This window comes from Homo sapiens, chromosome 3 (genome assembly GCF_000001405.40).
Source record: "Homo sapiens chromosome 3, GRCh38.p14 Primary Assembly".
Taxonomy (NCBI): domain Eukaryota; kingdom Metazoa; phylum Chordata; class Mammalia; order Primates; family Hominidae; genus Homo; species Homo sapiens.
Window position 1 is genome coordinate 121,970,004 of NC_000003.12, and position 24,335 is coordinate 121,994,338.

General features: G+C 40.1%; 1 protein-coding gene and 1 long non-coding RNA gene across 8 annotated transcripts in view, besides 1 other annotated feature; one reads left to right on the top strand and one right to left on the bottom strand.

Annotated features, from left to right (window-relative positions):
* The window catches only part of ILDR1 (immunoglobulin like domain containing receptor 1), a 74,333-nt gene continuing 67,317 nt past the window's right edge, over positions 17,320-24,335 (bottom strand). For 3 of the 7 annotated variants that reach the window (XM_047448044.1, NM_001199800.2, NM_001199799.2), the window contains 3 exons: positions 24,179-24,310; positions 23,147-23,967; positions 17,320-18,405 (listed from right to left, as the gene is read on the bottom strand). In XM_047448044.1, coding sequence (XP_047304000.1) covers positions 18,364-18,405; positions 23,147-23,967; positions 24,179-24,310 — 995 coding nt within the window. In that variant the 3' untranslated portion in view covers positions 17,320-18,363. The remainder of the gene's footprint in view (positions 18,406-23,146; positions 23,968-24,178; positions 24,311-24,335) is intronic. The other 4 variants (NM_175924.4, XM_005247389.5, XM_011512738.3 and 1 more) reach the window with 3 other exon arrangements.
* Positions 18,176-20,576, top strand: LOC101927010 (uncharacterized). The gene is made up of 2 exons (XR_241555.5): positions 18,176-19,625; positions 19,814-20,576. It is a non-coding gene; the product is annotated as an uncharacterized LOC101927010 (long non-coding RNA).
* Positions 22,765-23,266: an enhancer, noted in NCBI's record as "H3K4me1 hESC enhancer chr3:121711615-121712116 (GRCh37/hg19 assembly coordinates)". NCBI's record gives its function as "activates a minimal SCP1, AML or CMV promoter by ChIP-STARR-seq in naive H9 embryonic stem cells {active_cell/tissue: H9 hESC(naive)}" and the evidence as "EXISTENCE:reporter gene assay evidence [ECO:0000049][PMID:30033119]".

Sequence of the window (24,335 nt, forward strand, 5' to 3'; positions counted from 1 at the left end):
GGGCAGTCAGCTGTTAACGGTTTTAAGTCAGAAAGGTGGGAGACAATTGGAAATGCTAGCTTGGAGAGTTGTAGTCAGATATTCAAGGCAACTACAGAAATTCAGGATCCAGTTTAGTTTAACAAAACCTCAAAGACAATGAATAGTGCTAGATCTGATAATCTAATCTTGTTACAGATAGTACACTATGTTACACATAGTACACTAGGATTTTCTACTGAAACATTTTTCTCTCTATAGTCACCCGCATGTCTGCCAAAGACAATTGTAGTAAAACTAATTTGTTTGCAAAATAAATCAGTCTCATTAAACATGACCTGATTATTTACATAAGTGCAGCAAGAATGGTGATTAACCATAAAGGCTCCTTTTAAGTTTGCTTTACTGGAACTTCTAACAGGAAATCTGAGATTTGACTTTTTAAAAGCCTCTGTAGACTAAGAAGCCAAGCCAAAGACTTTCCATCAGACTTTGCCTGAAGAAGTTTTTTATTTTAATGAAGTCTAGCTTATCAATTATTTCTTGTATTAATCTTGCCTTCGGTGTTATGTCTCAAAGTCATTACCAAACTCAAGGTCATCTAGACTTTTTCCTGTTATCTGCTAGGAGTTTTATTTTATAGTTTTTGCATTTTACTTTAAGGTCTATGATCTATTTTGAGTTAATTTTTGTAAGAGGTATAAAGTTTGTGTCTAGTTTCAGTTTTGGTTTATTGTTTTTGTTTTTGAAACAGGGTCTCACTCTATTGCCCAGGCTGGAGTGCAGTGATGCAATCATGGCTCGCTGAAGGCTTGACCTTCCGGGCTCAAGCAAGCCTCCCACATCAGCCTCCCAAGTAGCTGAGACTACAGGTGTGCACCTTCACATCTGGTTAATTTTGTTGTTGTTGTTGTTGTTAGTAGAGCCAAGGTCTTGCCATGTGCCCAGGCTGGTCTTGAAGTCCTGAGCTCAAGGGATCCTCCCACCTCATCTTTCCAAAGTGCTGGGACTATAGGCATGAGCTGCCATGCATGGCCTACTTTCAGTTTTTAGCATGTGGATTTTTAGTTGTTCTAGCACCATATATTGAAAAGGCTCTCCTTGATCCATAGTATTGCCTTTGCTCCTTTGTCAAAGATGAATTGACTGTATTTGTTGGGTCTATTTTGGGGCTCTTTATTCTGTTCAATTGATCTATTTGTTTATTCTCTTGCTAATGCCAAACTTGATTAATGTAGCTATATGGTGTGGCTTGAAATCAGGTAGTGTCAGTCCTCCAAATTTTTTCTTCTTTGGTGTTGTGTTGATTATTACACTGATTTTTGACAGAGGTGCAAAAGCAATTCAATGAAGAAAGGACAGCCTTTTCAACAAAAAGTGCTGGAACCATTGGACATTCTTAGGTTAAAAAATCCAAAACAAACGGCCTCCTGTCCACACACATGAAAACAACCAAAAAACAAACTGAACCAACAAACAAAAAATGAAAACAAACACTTCGAATTAAACCTCATACATTATAGAAAAGTTAACTCAAAATGCATTATAGACTTAAATGTCTAGCATAAAATCATAAAACTTTATTTTAAAAAGTAGGAGAAAATCTTCAGGGTCTAAAGTTAGGCAGTTTTTAAGAATTGTTACTAAGGCATAATTTTAAAAAGGGAAAATTGATAAGTTGGACTCCATCAAAATTTTCTTTGTGAAAGCCCATATAAAGAGGGTTAAAAGACAAACTACAGGCTGATCAAAACATTTGCAAACCACATATTCAGTAAAGAACTAGTATCTGTAATAAGAACTCTCAAAAACTCAACACTAACAAAATAAATAATTCATTTAGAAAATAGGCAAAAGACATGCAGAGACATCTCTTAATAGGACATACAGATAATAGGTAAGCACATGAAAAGATATTTGACACCATTAGCCACTAGGGAAGTAGAAATTAAAACTGATATATAAGAGTTAAAAAGAAATTATTTAGACAGATAGTGAGGGTAAGGAAGTTCTCGGTAAGGTTTTCCTTTTAATGAAAAGCAGCCCCCAAATCATTTTTCTAATAAAGAGCAGCCTGTAAAATCAAGCTGCAGACATAGATAAGCAAGCTGGAAGCTTGCATGGGTGAATGCCAGCAGCCGTGCCAATAGGAAAAGGCTACCTGTGGGCTAGGCATGTTCAACGTGCCACTTCCATCTCCCCTTTTCTTTACCAACCATGTGTACCGTAAGGAACAGACAACATGGCGCCAGCCAGGAAGAGACCCCATTTGCATTATAAAAGATTAGGGTGGGGTGGCCACCTTCCTCGCTTGCTATGTAAATGGCACACCTGGTCCAACCAATCTTTGGGCCCTATGTGAATCAGACACTGCCTCCTCAAGCCAGTCTATAAAACCCCATGCACTTCACCACGGAACCAGAAGACCCACCTGGGCACCCCTCTCTCTCTGCAGGGGAGAGAGCTATTCTCTGTTCTCTTTCTTTCACCTATTAAACTTCCACTCTTAAATTCACTACTTGTGTGTCCATGTCCTTGATTCCCTTGACATGAGACAACAAACCTCAAGGATTTACCCCAGACAATGACACTGCTTCAAAACCAGAATAAAATATCACTACACATCTATCAGGATAGCTAAAAAATAGTAGCAACAGTAAATTCTGACTATGGTGCTAAGAAACTGGATCACTCATACATTGTGCTGGAAGTGTGGAAAGATATACCCACATTATAAAACAGTTTGGCAATTCCTTACAAAACTAAAGATACAACCACATGGCCCAACAGTTGCTTTCCTCCCAGAGCCCAAGGGCCATTTACAAAGTCAAATTTGCAACAAGAGGGCCTATATAGCAAAAAATTTACCAAACAGAAGTAGGTTTTATGGGTAAAAACCTGGGGGAATATACATGAAATGGAATTATAAGGGTAATGCCCCAGGGATATAAATTTAAGTTAGTGAAACTGCCTTTGCAAAAATTATAACACTAAGAAAATTACGACAGTGAAAGAGATCTGATCTAACCAACCCCCATCTTGTCTTTAACCTCCAAATTGTCCTTAACCCTTTTCCCCTTTGCCCTAAGAATACTTGCTGGTGGCGCTTGCAGCTGCAGTGCTTACCGCGAGATAACTTTGCCACAAAATATCTCACTTTTATTATTATTTTTGGATCGCTCTAGTATATCAACTTTGGAAACAAAAGACATCACTCTATAGTATTCTGTTTTTAGTAGTGGTGTTTCCATTTACAAAATATAGTAATTCTCAATTGCTGAAAATGTCACATTCTAGAAAATGTAGCATTCCTATGCATGATGTTAACATCGTTCTCAAACAGTTGTCAGCTGAAGATTCATTTGATGAATCCGATTTTTCTGAAATAGATTATTCTTATGATTCAGATGATTCTGATGTTAATTCTGTTTAGAAATAACTCCAAAAACAGTCTTTATATTTTATTTTCACATTGAAAATCAGTCAAATTTGCTTCAGCCACAAAGAGCGTGTTTATATAAAATTAAATGAGTGCTGGCAGTGAGCTGCACTTTTTTTCTCTAAAGGGGAAAAGGGTTAATTTAATCATTCTTGGGCTTGGACCAGGCTAAATTTAGGAGATATTTAGTTTATAGTTTAAATAATAGTAGCCCTTCTCCAAAGCTACATCGCCTTTCTAAAGCTAATGAAAGGCCATCAGGTTAGGAAGATAAAAGGAGCCTGAATTCTACTAAGGTGTGGATTACCAGCCATACTCCAGAAGTCACAAGATTTGCAACTTCCCCAATTATTCCTGCAAATAACATCACTATTATAGAGACTAAGATTGGCCTTTTGAGATGTCTTTTCAGGTTTTTGCATTTCTGTTTCCACTGGCCACCTGTCAACAACTTCTATGGCCCCACTCAGACTCCTGGGCCCACCAAACTATCCTTGGAAAGACTCTAGCCTCTGAAATTTTCCAGGAGATTGATTTGAGTAATAACTCCATCTCCCATGTGGCATGGCTGGCCTCATGTCAATTAAACTCTATTTATTGCAATGCCATGGTTTCAGTGAATTGGCTTCGTCTGTGCAGTGGGCAGGAAGAACCCATGAGGTGATTACATTAGGTTGAAATTATTATATAGGTGCACTTACAAAAGATTCTGCCTTCAATGTCTAACACACACAGTTGGAAGAGTTCTCTCTTTTTTTTTTTGTTTTTTGTTTTTTGGTGGTAGACTGAAAATTATATTTACTTTGGCCTATGTTGAGTTGAGACTTCAAAAATCCCTCGTAGAGAAAGAAAGATTTAGGGAGATAAGAATTGTCAACCTTAAATAACTAGATTCAGAAAATATGATTAAGTAGAGAGTTTATTTGGGCCTAAAGCTTGTGGATGGCCACCAGGGAGCATAGATTCAAGTTGCCCTGAATATACACTCTGATTCACAGCAGTTACAAGTAGGTTTTTAAGGAAAAAAGAAGAGGCAGTTCCTGAGTTCTTTACAAACAATTTACCTTAAAACAATGCAAGCTATTAATTGGCTGTACACTGTTCTTTGTATCACAAATTCCAGGAACCTGAAGATAATGAGTGAGGCAGCTATCAGGAACAAAATGTCTTTAAGTAATTGCCTTTGGACATGGGTAAGGGGTATGACTAAAGTCCCATACCAGTGTTTCTCTGGGCCTGCTAAATCTTGCCATTGCCCTGAGCTATTTTTCTTTTATCAGAATGTTAAAGTGAATTTGTTTTGTGTTACTCACTCAGCCATTCCATCCCTGAAGACATACCTGTCATAATGTAATCACCCAATGGGTTCTTCTTGCCCACTGAACAGATAAAAATCAACCCACTGAGACCTCAACATTGCAGGACAGAAAGAGTTTAATTGATGTGAGTCTGGCTGACTCAGGAGAACAAATTTATCACTCAAATCAGTCTCCCCAAAGACTTGGAGGTTAGGGATTTTATGGACAATTTGGTGGGCGGGGGCTAGGGAATGGGTGCTGCTGATTGGTTGAGGATGAAATCATAGGGGTGTGGAAAACAATCTTCACATGCTGAGTCCACCTCTGTTTGGGGCAATAGGATTCGCTGAGTCATAAGTCATGAGTCCAGGTGGTATCAGTCTGAAAAGCATCTTAAAAAAACAATCTTAGGTTGTACAATAGTGATATTACTTATAGGAACAGTTAGAAAAGTCACAAGTCTTGTGACTTCTGGCTACATGACCCCTGAGCAGTAAGGAATTACAGAAACTATGCCTATCTTTTCAGAATTCAGGCCCCTTTCACAATCCCAACCTTCTGGACTTTCATTACTTTTATAAAGGCAGTTTAGTTTTGGAAAGGACTATTATAATCTTTGTTTTGGGTAAAACTATAAATCATTTCCAAAGTTAGCTTGGCCTATGCCCAGCAATGACCAAGGACAGCTTGGAGATCAGAAGCAAGATGGAGTCAACTATGTCAAATTTCTCTTACTGTCATGATTTTGCAAAGGCAGTTTCAATAAGAGCATAGAGAAAAGCATAAATGAAGGTAGTACCAACATATTTGAAAAGCACCATTGTGGCTGATTTCTGTATGCCAGAGATGAAGTTGGAAAATACCAATATTGAAATAGTCTCTATGATTTCAATAAGAATGATGACATCTCAGGGTGGCAGAGACTAATGAATTACACCAATATACCAGAAACAATTTGGCCTGCTTATTTTAATAGGAGAAAGGCTGGTAGGGTAATTATAATGATTTGACCCACAGGAATCTTTGTCATTGAATAATTGATCATAGAGCCCTGCATGCGGAAATTGGAAGGGAGTCATGTTTACCTGGGTAAAGAATGTTTTCTCTGCAATAAAAGTCATTTGGTGAGTATTTACATAGGACACAAATATTCTCACACTCTGAGTTTACTTTAAGAGATCCCTTCACATACCTCTTTCTTCAGGCCAACTTGTTATACATCCTTATATCTTACTCCTTGTGTATCTCTGACCTGCCAATCATTAGCCCCAATCCCTGCATTACTGTAGATCTGTTTCTTGGGTCATCTCTCTTTTAGGCAAAATGGGCAGTGAGATAGCCTGCTTAAAATTCTGCCCATTGGAAGGAATTCCACCCCTTGGTGGGGCTGCTGCACTGCAGAAGTTTATCTCCAGTTTTCATGGAGAACCATTTATAAACTAGCTTCACATGTTTTTCTTTTTCAATCAACTGATCATAGAGAACACTCCATGTAGCTCAGGTATAGATGAGAGTAAGATGGCAGTGTGATGGCAGTAGGCACACCAGGAATGATAGCCACCTGTTCATCCAATTTACTCTTGACTTTAGGACCTGCTTAAGGTCAATATACCACATGCTGGAGGAGTGTTGCTGCCATGCCGGACTCTATGGTGATAGATAAGACACCAAATTCATGTGGGGAACTGACTTGACTGTCCTCCTGTCCTACAGTCAAGTAGGTGTTTGGTCTCTACTATGACCCAATAGCAAGCCAAATGCTATCTCTCAAAATGAGGGCAATTAATTTTCAAATCAGGCACGATTTTGCTCCAAAATGCTATGGGCCTCTCCTCTAATTCTCTTATCAGGGTTTCCACAGAATCCCCCAGCATCTTGATTAGCCATACATATTTTGAAAACCACTGGAATCACTGGTCATAAGTAGGGTGACCATATAATATAATTGATCACTCCAACTAGAACAATTTTGAGAGTGAAAGGAGGCACTAGTAATAAACATGTTGGGAAAATGTACGGTCATCCAGTCATAAAAGCCAAGTGATTTATTTGTTCACTCTGCATCCTTTACCAGCTAGAGTACATATTCAAAGATGAATATAGAAAATTTTGATAAAGAGCTCTCAATTATATCCTGGATTAGGTTATTGAATTTCAAGGCAAAACTTCTTCAAGCACTCAGGCAGAAAAGGTAAATATTTAATTAGTTATCACACTTTAGTGTGCATGAGAAGTACCTGGATGTATTGTTAAAACAGGCTACTCAACTTTATACTCAGAATTTCTAATTCTGTAGCCATAAAATGGGCCTGAGAATTTGCATTTTAACAAATTCTTAGGTGATATTGATGTTGCTAATCCAGGGGTCATATTTTTAAGAACCATTGATCTACAGAAGAAGAAGAAGAAAAAAAAACATAAGACTGTCCTCAGTTTTTTTCCACAGCAACATGTCATACTTTTAAGAACCATTGATCTACAGAAGAGAAGAAGAAAAAAATAGACTGTCCTCAGTTTTTTCCACAGCAACATGTAATACCAAATGATAATATTCTAAATAGAAACTTATACTGAGATGTAGTTGAAGTTTTAGGTCCACCAACAGCTTTTATAAACATGAACAGACTCTAGGAACATTGCCTTCTAGAGAACCTTTTGCAAAAGCCATAAGATGATAGTCACACTTTTTTTTTTCTGATAATAGGATCTAGGGGTTACAGTATATTTATGACCTGGCTGTCTAAAGAAAGGTTGTGATATGGTTTGGCTTTGTCCCTGCCCAGATCTCCCATCTTGAATTCCCACCTGTTGTGGCAGGGACCCAATTGGAGGTGATCGAATCATGGGGGCAGGTCTTTCCTGTGCTGTTCTCATGATAGTGAATGAGTCTCATGAGATCTGATGGTTTTAAAAAGGGGCGTTCCCCTGCACAGCTCTCTCTTTGCCTGCTGCCATTTACATAAGATGTGACCTGCTCCTCCTTGCTTTCTGCCATGATTGTGAGGCTGCCCCAGCCATGTGGAACCGTAAGTCCAATTAAACCTCTTTCTTTTGTAAATTGCCCAGTCTTGGGTATGTATTTATCGGCAGCATGAAAACGGACTAATACAGTAAATTGGTACCAGTAGAGTTGCTGAAAAGATATCCAAAAGTGTGGAAGTAACTTTTGAACTGGGTAACAGGCAGAGGTTGGAACAGTTTGGAGAGCTCAGAAGAAGACAGGAAAATGTGGGAAAATTTGGAGCTTCCTAGAGACTTGTTGAATGGCTTTAAGAAAAATACCTATAATGATATGAACAATAAGGTCCAGGCTGAGGTGGTCTAGATAGAGATAAGGAATTTGTTGGGAACTGGAGCAAAGGTGACTCTTGTTATGTTTTAGCACAGAGACTGGCGGCATTTTGCCACTGCCCTAAAGATTTGTGGAACTTTCAACTTGAGAGAGATGATTTAGGGTATCTGGAAGAAGAAATTTCTAAGCAGCAAAGAATTCAAGAGGTGACTTGGGTGCTGTTAAAGGCATTCAGTTTTATAAGGGAAGCAGAGCATAAAAGTTTGGAAAATTCGCAGCCTGACTATGCAATAGAAAATTTTTAAAAAACCAATTTCTGGGGAGAAATTCAAGCCGGTTGCAGAAATTTGCATAAGTAGCAAGGAGCCTAATGTTAATCCCCAAGACTATGGGGAAAATCTCTCCTGGCCATGTCAGAGACCTTCATGGCAGCCCCTCCCATCACAGACATGGAGGCCCAGGAGGAAAAAGTGGTTTTGTGGGCCGGGGCCCAGGGTCCCCATGCTGTGTGCAGTCTAAGGACTTGGTGGCCTGTGTCCCAGCTGCTCCAGCTGTGGTTGAAAGGGGCCAACTTAGAGCTCAGGCCATGGCTTCAGAGGGTGCAAGCCCAAGCCTTGACAGCTTCCATGTGGTATTGGGCATGTGGGTGCACAGAAGTCAAGAATTGAGGTTTGGGAACCTCTGCCTAGGTTTCAGAAGATGTATGGAAATGTCTGGATGCCCAGGCAAAAGTTTGCTGCAGGGGCAAGGCCCTCATGCAGAACCTCTGCTAGGGCAGTGCAAAAGGGAAATGTGGGGTTGGAGCCCCCACAAAGAGTCCCTACTGAGGCACTGCCTAGTGGAGCTGTGAGAAGAGGGCCACTGTCCTCTAGACCCCAGAATGGTAGATCCACTGACAGCTTGCACCATGCACCTGGAAAAGCCACAGGCACTCAATGCCAGCCCATGAAATCAGCTAGGAGGGGGGCTGTATCCTGCAAAGCCACAGGGGTGGAGCTGCCCAAGACCATGGGAACCCATCTCTTGCATCAGTGTGACCTGGATGCAAGACGTGGAGTTAAAGGAGATCATTTTAGAACTTTAAGATTTGACTGCTCGGCTGGATTTCAGACTTGCATGGGGCCTGTACTCCTTTGTTTTAGCCAATTTCTCCCATTTGGAATGGCTGTATTTACCTAATGCCTGTATCTCCATTGTATCTAGGAAGTAACTAACTTGCTTTTGATTTTACAGGCTCATAGGTGAAGGGACCTGCCTTGTCTAGATGGGACTTTAAACTTGGACTTCTGGGTTAATGCTGAAATGAGCTGAGATTTTGGGGGACTGATGGGAAGGCATGACTGATTTTGAAATGTGAGGACATGAGATTTCAGAAGGGCCAGGGGCAGAATGATACAGTTTGGCTGTGGCCCCGCCCAAATCTCTGTCTTGAATTCCCACATGTTTTGAGAAGGACCAGGTGGGAGGTGATTGAATCATGGGGGCAGGTCTTTCCTGTGCTGTTCTCATGATAGTGAATGAGTTGCACGAAATGTGATGGTTTTAAAATGGGTGTTCCCCTGCACTGCTCTCTTTGCCTGCTGCCATCCACATAAGATGTGACCTGCTCCTCCTTGCTTTCTGCCATGATTGTGAGGCTTCCCCAGCCATGTGGAACTGTAAGTCCAATTAAACCTCTTTCTTTTGTAAATTGCCCAGTCTCAGGTATATCTTTATCAGCAGCATGAAAACAGACTTATACAGATTATATTTACTAACCTCAGGTTCAGATGAGGTTTCCAGTAATATAAAACTTGACAATGCTCTATCTTTACCTACTACTATATTTCTCTGCCTACTTTCCTTTCATTCAAGCTAAAGAAATTAAGGCTCTGGTGCTGTTAAACTGTCTGACTCATCTGAAATGTAAGCCTTTATATTTGTCAAAAATTGTGAAATATGTTTGAGATGATTAAAATAAATCTGAAGGCTTGGCTAGTTCATGTATGTATGTATCTGAACTTCAAGTGAACTCTATGAACACTGTCCTCTATAAAAACTCCCACAAAAAAGTGCAGCTTTTTTTTCTGCAGAATCCTAAAAGATCAGAATAGCTTTGATTTTTAAGATGACCATCAGAATTCTTTGTTCCCCTTCTGTGGAAGTTGGAAAATAACTTTGAATAAAAATTATCTTTTTTGGGTTTTCTAAAATAAACATAACTAGTTTTGTTTACTGTAACAACAAAACTAAGTTGAGAGATGCAGAGGTGTAATATTAGAGGAAGTGTGAGAGTGCCAGTATTTTCATTTTCAATACCAGGAAGTCCATTTGAAACCTGAGGGTTTAAAGTACAATGATTCTAACTTCATCATGTTTTCCTTTGTCTTCTTTCATAATCTAGGAGGGTTCCTTAAGAAATAAAATCTCTTGAAATGAAAGATTTAAAGTTTAACAATTCCTCTAGTTTCCCTTCAATTTACTTTTCTTCTGTTAAAATCCAGCAAAACAGGTTTTATTTTTTATTTTTCTTAGACAAGGTCTCAATCTGTTGCCCAGGCTGGAGTGCAGTGACACGGTCATAGCTCACTGCAGCCTTGACCTCCTAGGCTCAAGCGATCCTCCCACCTCAGCCTCCCAAGTAGCTGGGAGTACAAGCACATGCCACCGTGATTGGCTAATTTTTAAAAATTTTTATTGTTAGTAGATACGAGGTCTTGCTATGTTGCTGAGGCTAGTCTGTAATTCCTGAGCTCAAGTAATCCCCCGACCTCTGGCCCCCAAAGTGCTGGGATTACAGGTGTGAGCCACTACAGCCAGCAAAAGTTTTTTGGTTTTTTTTTGACTAAAATTAGTAGCATTCATATGAACACATTTTAAAAGGTTATCTATTGCTCTCATTCTGTATAAGCAGAGAAAAAAATACTTGGAATGATGTTCATTTACTATGCTTAAAATTTTCATTGAGGTGTAATATACAAATCAGAAAATTCACTTCTTATGATTGTACAAGTTAACAATTTTTAGTAAATTTACAAGGTTGTTTGATCATAATAACAACCAATTTTAGAACATTTCTATCACTCTGAAAATAACCCTCATGTTCACTTACCATCTCTATTCCCACTCCAGTGCTGGGCAACCACTAATTTACTTTCTGTCTCTGTAGATTTGCCTTTTCTGGACATTTCGTACAAATAGAATCACCTCATATGTGGTTTTTGTATCTGGCTTCTTTTCTTTAGTATAATGTTTTTGAACTCATCCGTGTTGCAGCAAGTCAGTAATTTATTCCCTTTTATTACGGAAGTCCATGGATATGCCTACCACATCATGGAGTGAATTGTGTCCCTGTCCCCCAAATTCATATGTTGAAGCACTAACCCCTCAGTACCTCAGAATGTAACTATATTTGGAAATAAGTCTTTTAAGGAGGGCATTAAGTTAAAATGAGGATATTTAGGGTATGTCCTACTCCAATCTGACTGGTGTCCTAGAAAGAAAAGATCAGGACATATGAGAGAGAAAGTGAGAAGGCTACCATCTGCAAGCCAAGGAAAAGAGGCCTCAGGAGAAACCAAATCTGCAGGCACCTTAATCTTGGACTTCCAGTCTCCAGAACTGTGAGAAGTAAATTTCTGTTAAGCCACCCAGTCTGTGATATTTTGTTATGGCAACCCTAGCCGACTAACTCACCATTCTGGTGGCTATGAAGTGGTATCTCACTGTGGTTTTAATTTGCATTTCCCTAAGATGTATATCATCTTTTCATGTGCTTGTTGGAAATTTTTATATCTTCTTTGATGAAGTCTCTATTTAAACGTTGCCCATTTAAAACAAGTTGGGTTTGTCTTATTATTGAGTTGTAAGCCCTCCTGATATATTCTGGTTAGAAGTACTTTATCAGAAATATGATTTGCAAATATGTTCTCTAAGGTTGTAGTTTGTATTTTGTTTTCTTAATGGTGTTCTTTTGAAATAAAAAAGTTTTACATTTTGATGAAATTCAATTTATACATTTTTTCTTTTAAGGATTATGCTATTGGTGTCATATCTAAGGACTCTGCCTTACCTAAGGACAAAAAAGATTTTTCTATACTTTTTGGGGTTTAGCTCTTACATTTAGGTCTATTGTCCATTTGAAGTTAATTTTTGTATAAGGTGTAAGAGTCTAAATCCATCTTTTTGCATATGACTAAACAAGTGGTCCATCACCATTTATAGAAAATACTATCCTTCCCTCATTGAATTGCCTTAGCAGCTTTGTCAAAAATCAATTTATCCACAGGTATAGGAGTTTATTTCTGGACTCTTAATTTATGTCACATTGATCAATATGTCAATACTGCACTATCTTGATTATTTTATAGTACATTATAAAGTTGAGAAGTATGTAAATCCTCCAATTTTATTTTTCAAGATTTTTCAAGATTGTTAGGTCTATTCTGGGAACTAAGATTGCTTATTTGGAATAAATCCTACTTTTTCATGGTGTATTACAAGATTTGTTAATGCTCTATAAAGGATTTTTGCTTCTAATTTTAGGAGAGATGTTTGTTTTTTTTTGTCGTTGTTGTTGTTTTGTAATGTCTTTGGCTTTGTACTGGCCTTCTAAATAAATTAGGAAATATTTCCTCTTCTATTTTCTGGAGGAGATTATATAAAGTTGGTGTTAATTCCCCTTTAAAGGTTTAGTAGAATTAGTCAGTGAGACCATCTGGGTCTGGGCCTGGAGATTTTATTTTGGAGAGTTTTTTTTTTTTTTGAGACATAGTCTCATTCTGTCACCAGGCTGGAGTGCAGTGGCATGATCTCAGCTCACTGCAACCTCTACCTCCTGGGTTCAAGTGATTCTCCTGCCTCAGCCTCCTGAGTAGCTGGGATTACAGGTGTGTGCCACCACACCCAGCTAATTTGTGCTTTTAGTAGAGATGAGGTTTCACCATGTTGGCCAGGATAGTTTCTATCTCCTGACCTTGTGATCCACCCACCTCGGCCTCCCAAAGCGCTGGGATTACAGGCGTGAGCCACTGCACTCGGCCTTTGGAGAGACTTTTTATCAAAAATTCAATCTCCTTAATAATAATAGGGCTATTTAGATTGTCTATTTCATCTGAGTTTTTGTAGTTTGTGGTTCTCATGGAATTGGTCCATTTATTCTAAATTGTCAAATTTCTGAGCATAAAGCCATATGTAATACTATTTTTTTTAATGGTTGCAGTATTTGAAATGAGAGTTCTTGTTCAAGTCCTCATATTGGTGACTCATTTTCTATTTTTGTCAATGTTGCTAGAGGTTTATTGATTTTATTACAATTTTTTGAAGAACCATCTTTTCCTTTCATTGCATTTTTTGGTAAGATTCTCCTGTTTTCAATTTCATTGCTCTTTACTACTTTATTCCTTCTGCTTGCTTTGGATTTATTTTGCTCCTCTTTTTGAGGAAAAGTAGGAACTTAAATTATTGATATGACACCTTAATTTTTTTTGGGGGGGGAGTGAAAGTTTATTAAAAAGCTTTAGAGAAGGAATGAAAGGAAGTACATTTGGAAGAGGGCCAAGTGGGCAACATGAGAGACCAAGTGCCCCTTTCTTCATTTTTAATGTAAGTATATAGTGCTATGAATTTTCTTCTTAGTACTGCTTTAGCTGCATCCCACATACTTTGATATGTTTTCATTTATCCTTTTAATTTCCTTTGAGACTCCCTGTTTGACCCATAGATTATTTAGAAGTGTGTTATTTAATTTTCAAGTGTTTCAAGAGTTTCCTGTTGTCTTTGTTAGAGATTTTCAGTTTAATTCCATTATGGCCAGAGCACATGATTTCAATTCTTTTAAATTTGTCAAGTTTGTTTTACTATATATTTTATGTCTTTTTCTATTTGATGACTAGTGCATGGGCAATTGAGAAAAATGTATTGTTAGGTGGTATGTCTTATGAATGTTAATTAGACCCTGTTGATTGATTGTGTTGCTCAGATTTTCCATATCCTGGTGATTTTTCTACTTCATAGTTCTATTAGTTACTGGGGAAAGGGGAGAATGATGTTGAAGTTCCCAACCATAATTACAGATTCTGCTATTTCTCATTTCAGCTTTATCAATTGCTGCTTCAGGTATTTAAGGCTCTGTGGTTTAGTTTGTACACATTTAGTATAATGCGTCTTCCTAATTGATCCTCTTATCATTATATAATATCCCCTTTGTCTCTGGCAATTTTCTTTGCTTTGCAGTCTACTTTATCAAACACTACTATTGCCACTCCTGTTTTTTTAAAAAAGTATTAATGTGTATGTGATATATCTTTTTCCACCCTTTTTTACTTTCAACTCACCTGTGTTTGAACTTGAAATGAGTTTCTTATATGCAGCACATAGGATTATGGATGGTTTTTAACTCAGTCTACCAATGTTTGTCTTTTGATTGGTATATTTAGACCATTTACATTTAAGGTCCAGTGTTTACTGATATTTTAGCACTTTAGTCTGTTATTTTGTTATTTATTTTCTATTTGTCTCCTCTGGTTCTTATTTATCTTTCTTGCCTTTCTGCAGCTTATTTAAACATGTTTTAGATTCCATCTTGATTTATTTGTAATACTTCTGAGTTTGTCACTTTGTATAGTTTTCATAGTGGTTGCTCTGGGTGTTACACATGCTACTTATAACAATGTACTGGTATCAATATTCACCACTTCAAATGAAGTGTGGAAACCTCACTTCCATTCAGGTCTCTTTGGCTTCCCCACCTTTAAATATCATTGTTTTAAGTATCAGATGGTGTTACAATTTTTGTTTCAAACATAAAATATATTCTCTAAAACCCATAAGGAAAAAATTGTCTATTGTATGAACCAGTATTTCTGCTCTATTGTTTCTTCTTCCTTCCTGATGTTCTAAGTTTCCTTCTTTTATAATTTGAAGAACTTCCTTTAGCTAGTCTTTTATGGGTAGATTGGCTAGTCACAAAATCTTTTAGTTTTCATTCATCTGTTAATGTTTTTATAATCCCTTCATTTCTAAGAATGTTTTGTTTGTTTTCAAAAGATAATTTTGCTAGATCTAGAATTATAGGAGATGATTCTTTTCTTTCATCCCTTAAAAAATATTTGGCCACTTCCTTATTTATGGTTTCAGATAAGAAATCCATTCAAATTGGTGTTCCCCTACAAGTAATGCACTGTTTCTCACTTGCTGCTTCCAGGACTTTGTTTTTAGTTTTCAAAAAATTATAATGTGCCTGGGCATGGATTTTTTTTTTCTTCTGTGGGATTCATCCGGCTTCTTGAATCTCTAAGTTAGTGTCTTCTATCTAATTTGGAATGTTTTCAGCCTTATTTTTTCAAATATTCATGTCTACCCTTTTTCTCCTTTACTTTCTGTTACTCCGATAATATGAATGCTGGATATTTTGTTATTGTTCCATAGGTCCCTGAGGTCTGTTTATTTTTTCCGGTTTATTTTCTCTCTATTGTTCAGATTGGGTAAATTCTATTGTTCTGTCCTCAAGTTCACAGATTTTTATCCCCCATCATCTCTACTGTACCATTAAGCCTATCCAGTGAGTTTTCAGTTTTTGTATTTTTCAGTTCTATAATTTTCATGTTTCCTTTTGATAAAACTTCTATTTCTATTTTTCTGAGGTTTTTCTGTTTTTTCATGTTTCAAGAGAATTTGTAATTGATTGTTGTAGCATTTTTATGATGTCTGCTTTAAAATTCTTATCAGATAATTTCCAATATCTGGTTCATCTCAATGCTGGAATCCATTGATTTCCTTTTTCACTCAAGTTGTGATTTTATTGTTTCTTGATTTGCACTCTGAACATTTTGCCTATTATGTTAGGAGACTGATTTCTATTTAAATATTTTGTTTTGCAAGGAATCACTCTGTTTAGGTTTAGCATACAGTTTTAGCCTACTTTTGTGGGCTGTAATTCTAATGGCAGCTTAATTTTCAGAGCCCTTGCAGTGTTATTTTAGTTGCTTGGTTTATGTAGGGCTCCCACTGGTCTCTGTTACTGCTGCCTGAAAGGGCAGGAGGAATTTCCCTGGCTGGGTTGCCAAGTGTCTCTTGGTGAGGGTGGGCTATGATAAATCCTGCAGATGCCTCTAGCTGCCCAGATTTCTCTGGGCCTGGGAGGAGAGTCTTGCTTCCACATCGTGGCTTCTGTGACCAGGTTGCTGGCTTCAGAGATGTCGTCTGTGACAGGTCCCTTTTCCTGGTTCTACCAGCCAATCCTAGTATCTCTGGGCAGGAGAGGACAGTCTTAGGCCTGTGCAAAAAGGCTTCCCCAACTGGACCACCTATTTTTCCTAGGTTTCTCTTACTAGCTCCTCCTGTCCACCTCAGTATCTTTTCTTGGAAAAGAGGAGTTTCTGACCCAGCAGGGAATAAGGGTGCTTCCCCTGGTCACTTATTTTTTTTGTAGGCCTCTCAATCAGTCCACTTATTTTTTTGTAGGACTCTCAATCAGTCCCCTTGCCTGAGGTTGCCAGAGGGACTCCATTAGGTTCAGGGGGAAGAATGAGCTACTGGGCTACCTTCTGCTGCTAGATGGAAAGTCAGGAAATACCTTCTGATAGGGGGATATAAAATGCCCTGCCTCTGTGCTGTTCTTCTGGTCCTGGGTTTTCAAACCAACCTGCTTTCTTCTTAACACCCTTTAGAATCCTTTGGTTTTCTCTTGTACCATTTCCAAAATTTATTAAGTTGTGCTTAGCAGGGCATAGCAGGGGAAATGGGACAATGCCATCTTGTCCAGACCAGAAGTCTCTCACCTACTGAATGTTACGTCTACATTATCTGTAAATATATATATATTTTCGCTAATTTAGATCCAATTAAATATGAATAATCAAAAAATCCCAGAGAAGTCTACCTAATGCAGAAATTTAACCTATTTTCTCCACATGTAATTAAATTAATGAGACTGGGGGAAAATGGATGTGTCAATAAATGGGATCTAAAGTGAGCACGTAAGGATATACTGTTAAAGAACATACACACATACTCTCCTTCACTCAGGCCACCTCCTTCCAATCTGCTCAGTGTGGATCTCTCCGTCAAGCACAGATGGATTCATGAAGCCTCCAAAGGGGCTTCGAAAAATGGGAGGGGGTGGTAGAGCCTATTATAGTGAAAATACAGTCCTTTCTTCCTGGGGCCCTCTGAGTGGCAAGACCTGCCTGGATGCTTCTGCTTGGGAAATCTCAACTCTGAAAGGCTGAGTAGTGCCAGGAGAATGGTAGCTCCAGAACTCCCTAGGTTGGTCGGGGTCTTCTCTGAACTTTAGTGGTGAAGGTGGCTTAATCCAATCAAATGCACCAAAGTAGGAAAGCAGATATTTATTTGGAGCAGCATGCTCAGCTTGGCATGTTTTCTTTCTTCCTTATTTATATACTGTGTCATTCCCAAGAAGGATTTAAAGTGACTTCAATCAATACACAATATATATGAAAATATAAATTAGATATACAGGTAAAAAAAGAGCAAGAGGAAAACAAGGCACAGGAATAAGGCTGGTGCAAAACTGCTTCTCTGTGATTTTCTACACTTACAATAAATAGTCCATTTATGGGCTGGCAGGATAAACTCCTAACAAGAAAGGACCCTCAAGACATGCCATGGAGGAAGATACATTCCCATGGGAATGTCCCTATAATACTCCATAGATTTCCTTTTCCTGAAACATGTTTGATTTCTTCTTAAACATTCCCAAGTTCTCATTTTGAGAATGGCCAGGGTTCTGGGCAGTGTAGTCTACTGAAAGACTCAGGCTACTAAGTTCCTGAGGGATCACATTCCAGTCAGGGTCCATTACAAGTCAGAGATTATATAAATATGCAAGAGAGCATGAACCAAGGCTAAAACTACAGTTGGTAATTCCTCGAACTCTAACTTTTTTGTTTTTTGGCCTTTTGGGTTTTTTAGTAATGGGGACTTGCTCTATTGCCCAGGCTGGAATACAGATGTGTGATCATGGGATCCTGGCTCATTGCAGCCTTGCACTCCTGGGCTCAAGGGATCCTTCTGCCTCAGCCTCTTGAGTAGCTGGGACTACAAGTGCATGCCACCACACCTAACTAATTTTTATATTTTTTGTAGAGACGGGGTCTCACTATGTTTCCCAGGCTGATCTTGAACTCCTAGTCTCAAGTGATTCTTAGCCTCCCAAAGTGCTGTGATTACAGGTGTGAGCCACTATACCCAATCTCAAACTCTTGTATTTAAAATTCTTCTATTTGATTCTCAGAATCTAAGCCAAAAACTGTTAGACTCAGACTTGCAGTTCCCAAGTCAGCTGGAAACCTAGGTGATGCTGATGACACACAGGAGCCGAGAAGTAGCCACAGAAGTTGTGCTGTGCTTGGTGACTAAATGACCACACTCCTTCCACTATGAGAGCTGTCTTTCTCCTGGGAAATAGAAGAATACACACACAAAAAAAATCCAGTCAGTGCAATCCGTCTATGCATGTAACACATAATGTGCTCTTGATTTACAAATCCTAAGTGGGTGGTGGCTGCCAGGACAGCAGATCTGAACCTAAAAAGTATTTCTTTACTCTTCATGAAACCAATCTCTCTCCCCAGGCTTAGGTTTTTCTTGCTTACCTCTCTAGAGACTCCCTCAAATACCTTTAATTTCTGAAAATTTCTTCCAGTCTAATTCACTCTGCCTCTTGCTCTGTTTTCTAATACCTTCAAGTCTCCCTTAGACTGAAAAAGGGGTACCCTGTTCCATTCTTCAGTCCATCTCTCTCCCATTCATTCATGAAGACATTGCTCAGTTCTCTTTTTCCTTTTTATAATCTCCTGAATCATTCCTTCCCAGCCCTTTTCTAAAAAGTTTGGCTTCAAACCTTAGTATTTCTCTGAAGTTGTATTTCAGAGATCACTAATTACTTCTTCCTGACCAAACTCAGTGGCTTTTTTTCAGAAGTTATTCCACTCTACTTGGTCTTTGGGCTTTTTCCACTTCCTCGGTGAGGGTGAAGAACTGTGGTTTACATTTCTCATATTTTTCTAGCTACGGTAGGGGATCATTTTATTTAAGTTTTGAATACTTATACTTGTGGTCCATGAATGTAACCTTCCTCATCTTATTTGAAATAAGAAAACGAAGTATCTGTCCTAAAATATACTGCTCAAAAGGGATCACATATGTATGTACATTCATGTTGCTATAAAAAAAAGTTTCCAATTTATCAGGAAAGTGAGTTTTAGGGGTCATGATTTCTAATCAAAATACTGCAGGATAAATGTTCTCTGACATAACGGAAAACAATGAAATGTGGTAAAAGGAACTTGTCCAAGTTTGCTAAAAGAAAACCTAGACATGATCAAGGAGTAGACATTTTGTTGAAAGTAGGAGATTAAGAATGCCGACATAAAACTTTTTAAACATTAAATCAAAAAGTCAAGAAAAAAGCTGGGATTCTCTTTAGAAAGTTTGAATTTAGCTTGGAGAAGAAAGAACACAGTGGTTTTCTCTTGTATTAGAACAGGTGTATACCGGCCAAGTTTGGAAGAAGCCAGAAATACCTTGAGAATGTCTTAGGACAAGATTAGAAGGAAAGATAATTCATTGGAAGGAGTCCAGGAGCCTGGGCCACTCAAGTCTGTACTCACTGAAGGTAAAAGCTTGAAGTTTTTGCCCCTTATATTTCTGAGGTTATAGCTTCAGTGGAGTGAAAACGCCACCAGACCTGAATTGAGAAGATCTTGGCTGGAATCCTGGTTCTGAAGTTGGGTGGAAGATCCCTCAATATAACCTCCATTTTCTCATGGGCACTGTGTAACATATCGTTCCTATCTATTTCAGGTTACCATGAAATCATCTGCATGGAAGCCCTTGTTTGTCAATATCTATTTGTCAAATATTACTCTTGAGAGAGAAGGTTCCACATGAACAACAACAAAAAAAGTTGTTCCATTTATGTTTCTCTAAATGCCAAATGAAGTATTTTAAATAAGCATTTTATAAAAAGTTATGGTAAAGCTGTAGCTGCTGAAAGCCTGCTTTAGGAAAATAGTGATACATCTTATCAACTCAAGCAGTAAACAGGAACTTCCAGTGCTGCATGATGGAAGGTCACCATCTAGAGGCCCAATTGTATTAGGATGTTTCACTACAAGCTCCAATGACTCCAGAGGCTAGGAAGGCAGCCTGTGTAAGAAGCAGCAGCCAGCCCCAAGGAGAGGAGGGAACAGCAAGACTTTGGCCCTGCAGACTTTGCCTCAGTAAATGCATTCAAAATTCCAGTTACAAACAAAACAAACTAAACACAGTGCCTTCAAACTGAGCAATCTGCCAAATCAAGCTTTGATCCTGGGCCTCTGCTCACTGTCAGAATATGAATGGAAAGTTGAATGTGATAAGTAAAGTGATAACTCCTTGGGAGATAAGCTCAAAGAGATTCCAAACAATGGAGGCTTTTACAATTTCTTGTACAAAATCTTTGCTTCTTGGGAGTAACTTTACAATTGAAAATTTGGTTTGGTTGTGGTAGGTGGTAAAGGAAGCTGTGATATTTTCAGAAAATTAGGAAGAAATAAAGTCACCAGAAGATATCATTGACTCCAAATGATAATCTCTTTCTCTCTTCCTTTTTTTTCTGAGTCAAGGTCGCATTCTGTGCTCAGGCTGGAGTGCAGTGGTGCAATCATGGCTCACTGAGCCTAGAACCTGGGCTCAAGTGATCCTCCTATACTCCTGAGTAGCTGGGACTACGGGTACATGCCACTGCACTTGACTATACTTCTCTCTAAGGAGGCAGCATGAATTATTGAAAGGGCACAGGCTTGAGAATCAAAGCGCAATTCAAACCTAAGCTTCACTCCCTATTGGCTGTGTGGCTTTGAGCATGCTACTCAACCTCTCAGAGGCTCCCATAGTTGTGAGGATTAAATGAAATAAAGCTTGGAGGCCAGGCACAGTGGCTCATGCCTGTAATCCCAGCACTTTGGGAGGTCGAGGCGGGCAGATCACGAGGTCAAGAGATCGAGACCATCCCGGCCAACATGGTGAAACCCCATCTGTACTAAAAACACAAAAGTTAGCTGGGTGTGCTGGCATATGCCTGTAGTCCCAGCTAATCACGAGGCTGAGGCTGGAGAATCGCTTGAACTGGGGAGGCAGAGGTTGCAGAGAGCCGAGATTGCACCACTGCCCTCCAGCCTGGTGACAGAACGAGACTCTGTCTCAAAAAGAAAAAAAAAAGAAAGCCTGGAAAGGGCTTAAAGGGCTTATCCAGTGTCTGGAATGTAACTGGTGTTCCTCACCCTTTTCTCACTTACAAGAAGTCACATAATTTAACTTACAGAAAATGAAAAGAAAATAATTTAACTTAGAAGAAGATAGCATGTAGATTTGGGGCCCAAAACTGGATCTTAACTTTTTTTGTTGTTGTTGTTATAATGAAGAGACCTGGTTTAGTCACTACATGAGTAAAGGAAGTGTGATTGTGTTTTCTTTCAGGACGTAATTTTCTTACTGGTAACACGGAAGAAATAGTTGTATCATCTGTAAATGAGGATAATAGTACAAAACACACAGGGTTGTTGTGAGGATTAAGTAAGATGTTATATAAGATGTCTATAACTCAGTACCGCTTAGCAAGGGGTAGCTATTTTCACTATTTTGTTGATCCTTGTCACTCAAGGGACATCTGTGAGAAGATGACATAATTGCCATTAATTATTACAGAAATGTCTGCTGGTCTTTGCTACCTTCCTCACAAATCACTCTCTCACCAAGGCTCTGCTCTAGAAAGAGCAGCAGTGTGGCTCTCCTAAGAGGCCTGCTCCTTTGCACACACCATGTATGTGATTGAGTTTTTAAAAAACTCACAGCAGAACATGTACTTCCAAATGAGAGTTGTATCCTTCAAAGCCTGTGACAGACTACACTTCTTCTTTTATAATATCTCTCTGCTCCGGGAACTTATTTCAGAGTTACTGCATATACCTTTGACTATCTCAACAGAAGCAAAAGAGAAAAGGATTTTGGTCAAATAGAGAAAAGATCTTCATGGGTAGCCTGTAAGTTGGCTCTGAGGCAGTTTATTAATGTTTTTGAGCAATGGCAACATATCTTTGCAAAGTGGCAACATTAAAGGACTGCTGTCATTTGGATGTATTAATTATAAATTTTTTTTTTGAGACAGAGTTTTGCTCTTGTCACCCAGGCTGGAGTGCAATGGCACGATCTCAGCTCACTGCAACCTCCTCTTCCCAGATTCAAGTGATTCTCTTGCCTCAGCCTCCTGAGTAACTTGGATTACAGGCACCCGCCACCACACCCAGCTAATTTTTTGTATTTTTAGTAGAGACACAGTTTCACCATGTTGGCCAGGCTGGTCTTGAACTCCTGACCTCAGGTGATCCACCCGCCTCGGCCTCCCAAAGTGCTGGGATTACAGGCATGAACCACCACACCCAGCCCCAAATAATTTTTAAAGTCACTTCTTTAAAAAAATACAAAAGATCTGTTTCTAGGGGCCCTAAAGGCCTACTTCCTTCTGTGTTCCCCTTTTAACTATGTCTGGCACCCATTGGCATCTTGCCTATTCACAGAATCTTAATGTTTTGGCCCATATATGGAATATCAGGGTTTTAAAAATCAGTTTAATGGTCCTTTCCAGGGGATGTCTCAGAGGGTCCCAACCTCATATATACCAGGGCCTTGCAATGCTGACTTAACAAGTGTCTTCTGTCAGGCCCAGTGTTCTAATTTGGGGTATGGAAATGGGTTGCTAAGTAAAGAAAGCAAAGCAGCTGTGAAGGAAGGTGAGGCTCTAGCCACAACAGCCTGCATTCAAGTCCTAGCTCATGGCTTGCAAGGTGCTTAATCATGCTGAGCCTCATTTTCTCCTGTGACCTCGCTTGGCCTACCCCACAGGACTGCGATGACAGCCGAAGCGACGGTGAGAAGGCCCTTCACAGGCAGCGAACTCTCCCCTGCCCTCTGCACTCGCTTGATTTCTTTAGCTCTGACAAGAGGTAGTCCACCTAGCCCACAGTGTAATTTGGGCAAAACAGGGAGGAGGCACCCTCTGTGGTGGAATGAGAGGCAGCCTGTGTTGGCTGTGGTCATGCCTGGCTGGAGGCTCCTCTCTGCCCATGCCCAACCCTCAGCAGGATGCCCCAGGCTCACCGAGCGCCTCTCCACACTCCCTTTTTTCCTGCTATTCTTGCCTGGAGTGATATCAAGTGAGCGGTAGCTAGGCGGCTTCTCCTCGGGCCAGTGTGGGGAGTGCGAGCCGCGGCGGTGGGCCCGCCAGCTCTGGGGCTGCCTCTCCTTGTCCTCTTCAGAGCTCCAGGAACTGAGGCCGGAGGGCAAGGGAGGAGAGTAGCTGCGGTGCCTGCGTCGTCTCCCGTGCCTCTGAGTGCTCTCCCGGGGGCTGGGCCTGCGGGGCCTCTCCTGACAGCGGCTCCTGAAAGGAGGGTGGCTCGGCCGCCAGCGTGCCTCACTGGATGAGGGGACATCGCTTAGGCTGTCCCTGTCTGACCAGTGTATGGGTGACCCATTCAGCCTAGAGCTACGGTGCCTTCCACTCCACGATGGGTCCAACTCCCTTCTTTCCAATGCCCAAGACTTTGGCCCCCGGTCCTGGAGCTCCTGGTGGAAATCAGGGTAATGGTGGTGGCTTCTCCCCTCCCTCAGATCCCAGGGCCTGGAGGGAATTGGGGTGAGCCACTGCTGGTGCAGGGAGTCACTGGTCCTCCTTGAGGATGACAGGTCTCTGATCAGTGGGGGCAGGTGGATGATTCTGCGTTCCACGACCTCAGAGCCCAGGGAGGACAGCATGCTGCAGGGATGGCCAAATCTGCCTTTGAGGTCAGGGGGCAGAGGCTGGGCCAGGTTGAGGTTCCGCAGTTCTTTCTCCAAATACTCCAGGACACCATTGGCGATGGGAGGCTGATTGGTGGTCTGGGTCATTGGCATCTGCGGGAGGCTGGACGGCAGGGACAAATCTGAATGGAAACAAGGACAGGACAATAGAACAAATGGCCCAAAACATACACCTCAGAATCAGGACATCAAAATGTGACATTGGTTAGCATGAATCCCTCCCATCTCCATCATGAAGATGCCTGCCGCATCGGTCACAGAGGTCTTGATGTAGCCCATGTTCCCGCCCTTGCCCTCTGCCCTCCCCTATCCCAAATCTCTGGAAGAGTTTACCTCGCTGCAGCAGCGGGTGCATTGGATAAGATGAAACCTGGGAGCTCCTGTCCGCCCCCCAGTACAGGGGTTTTCCCATCATCTGAGGACCTAGGGCCTGGGCCTGCTTCATGTAGCGGTGGCGGGCCAGGGCTGCAGGGAAAGAAGGAGAAATGCA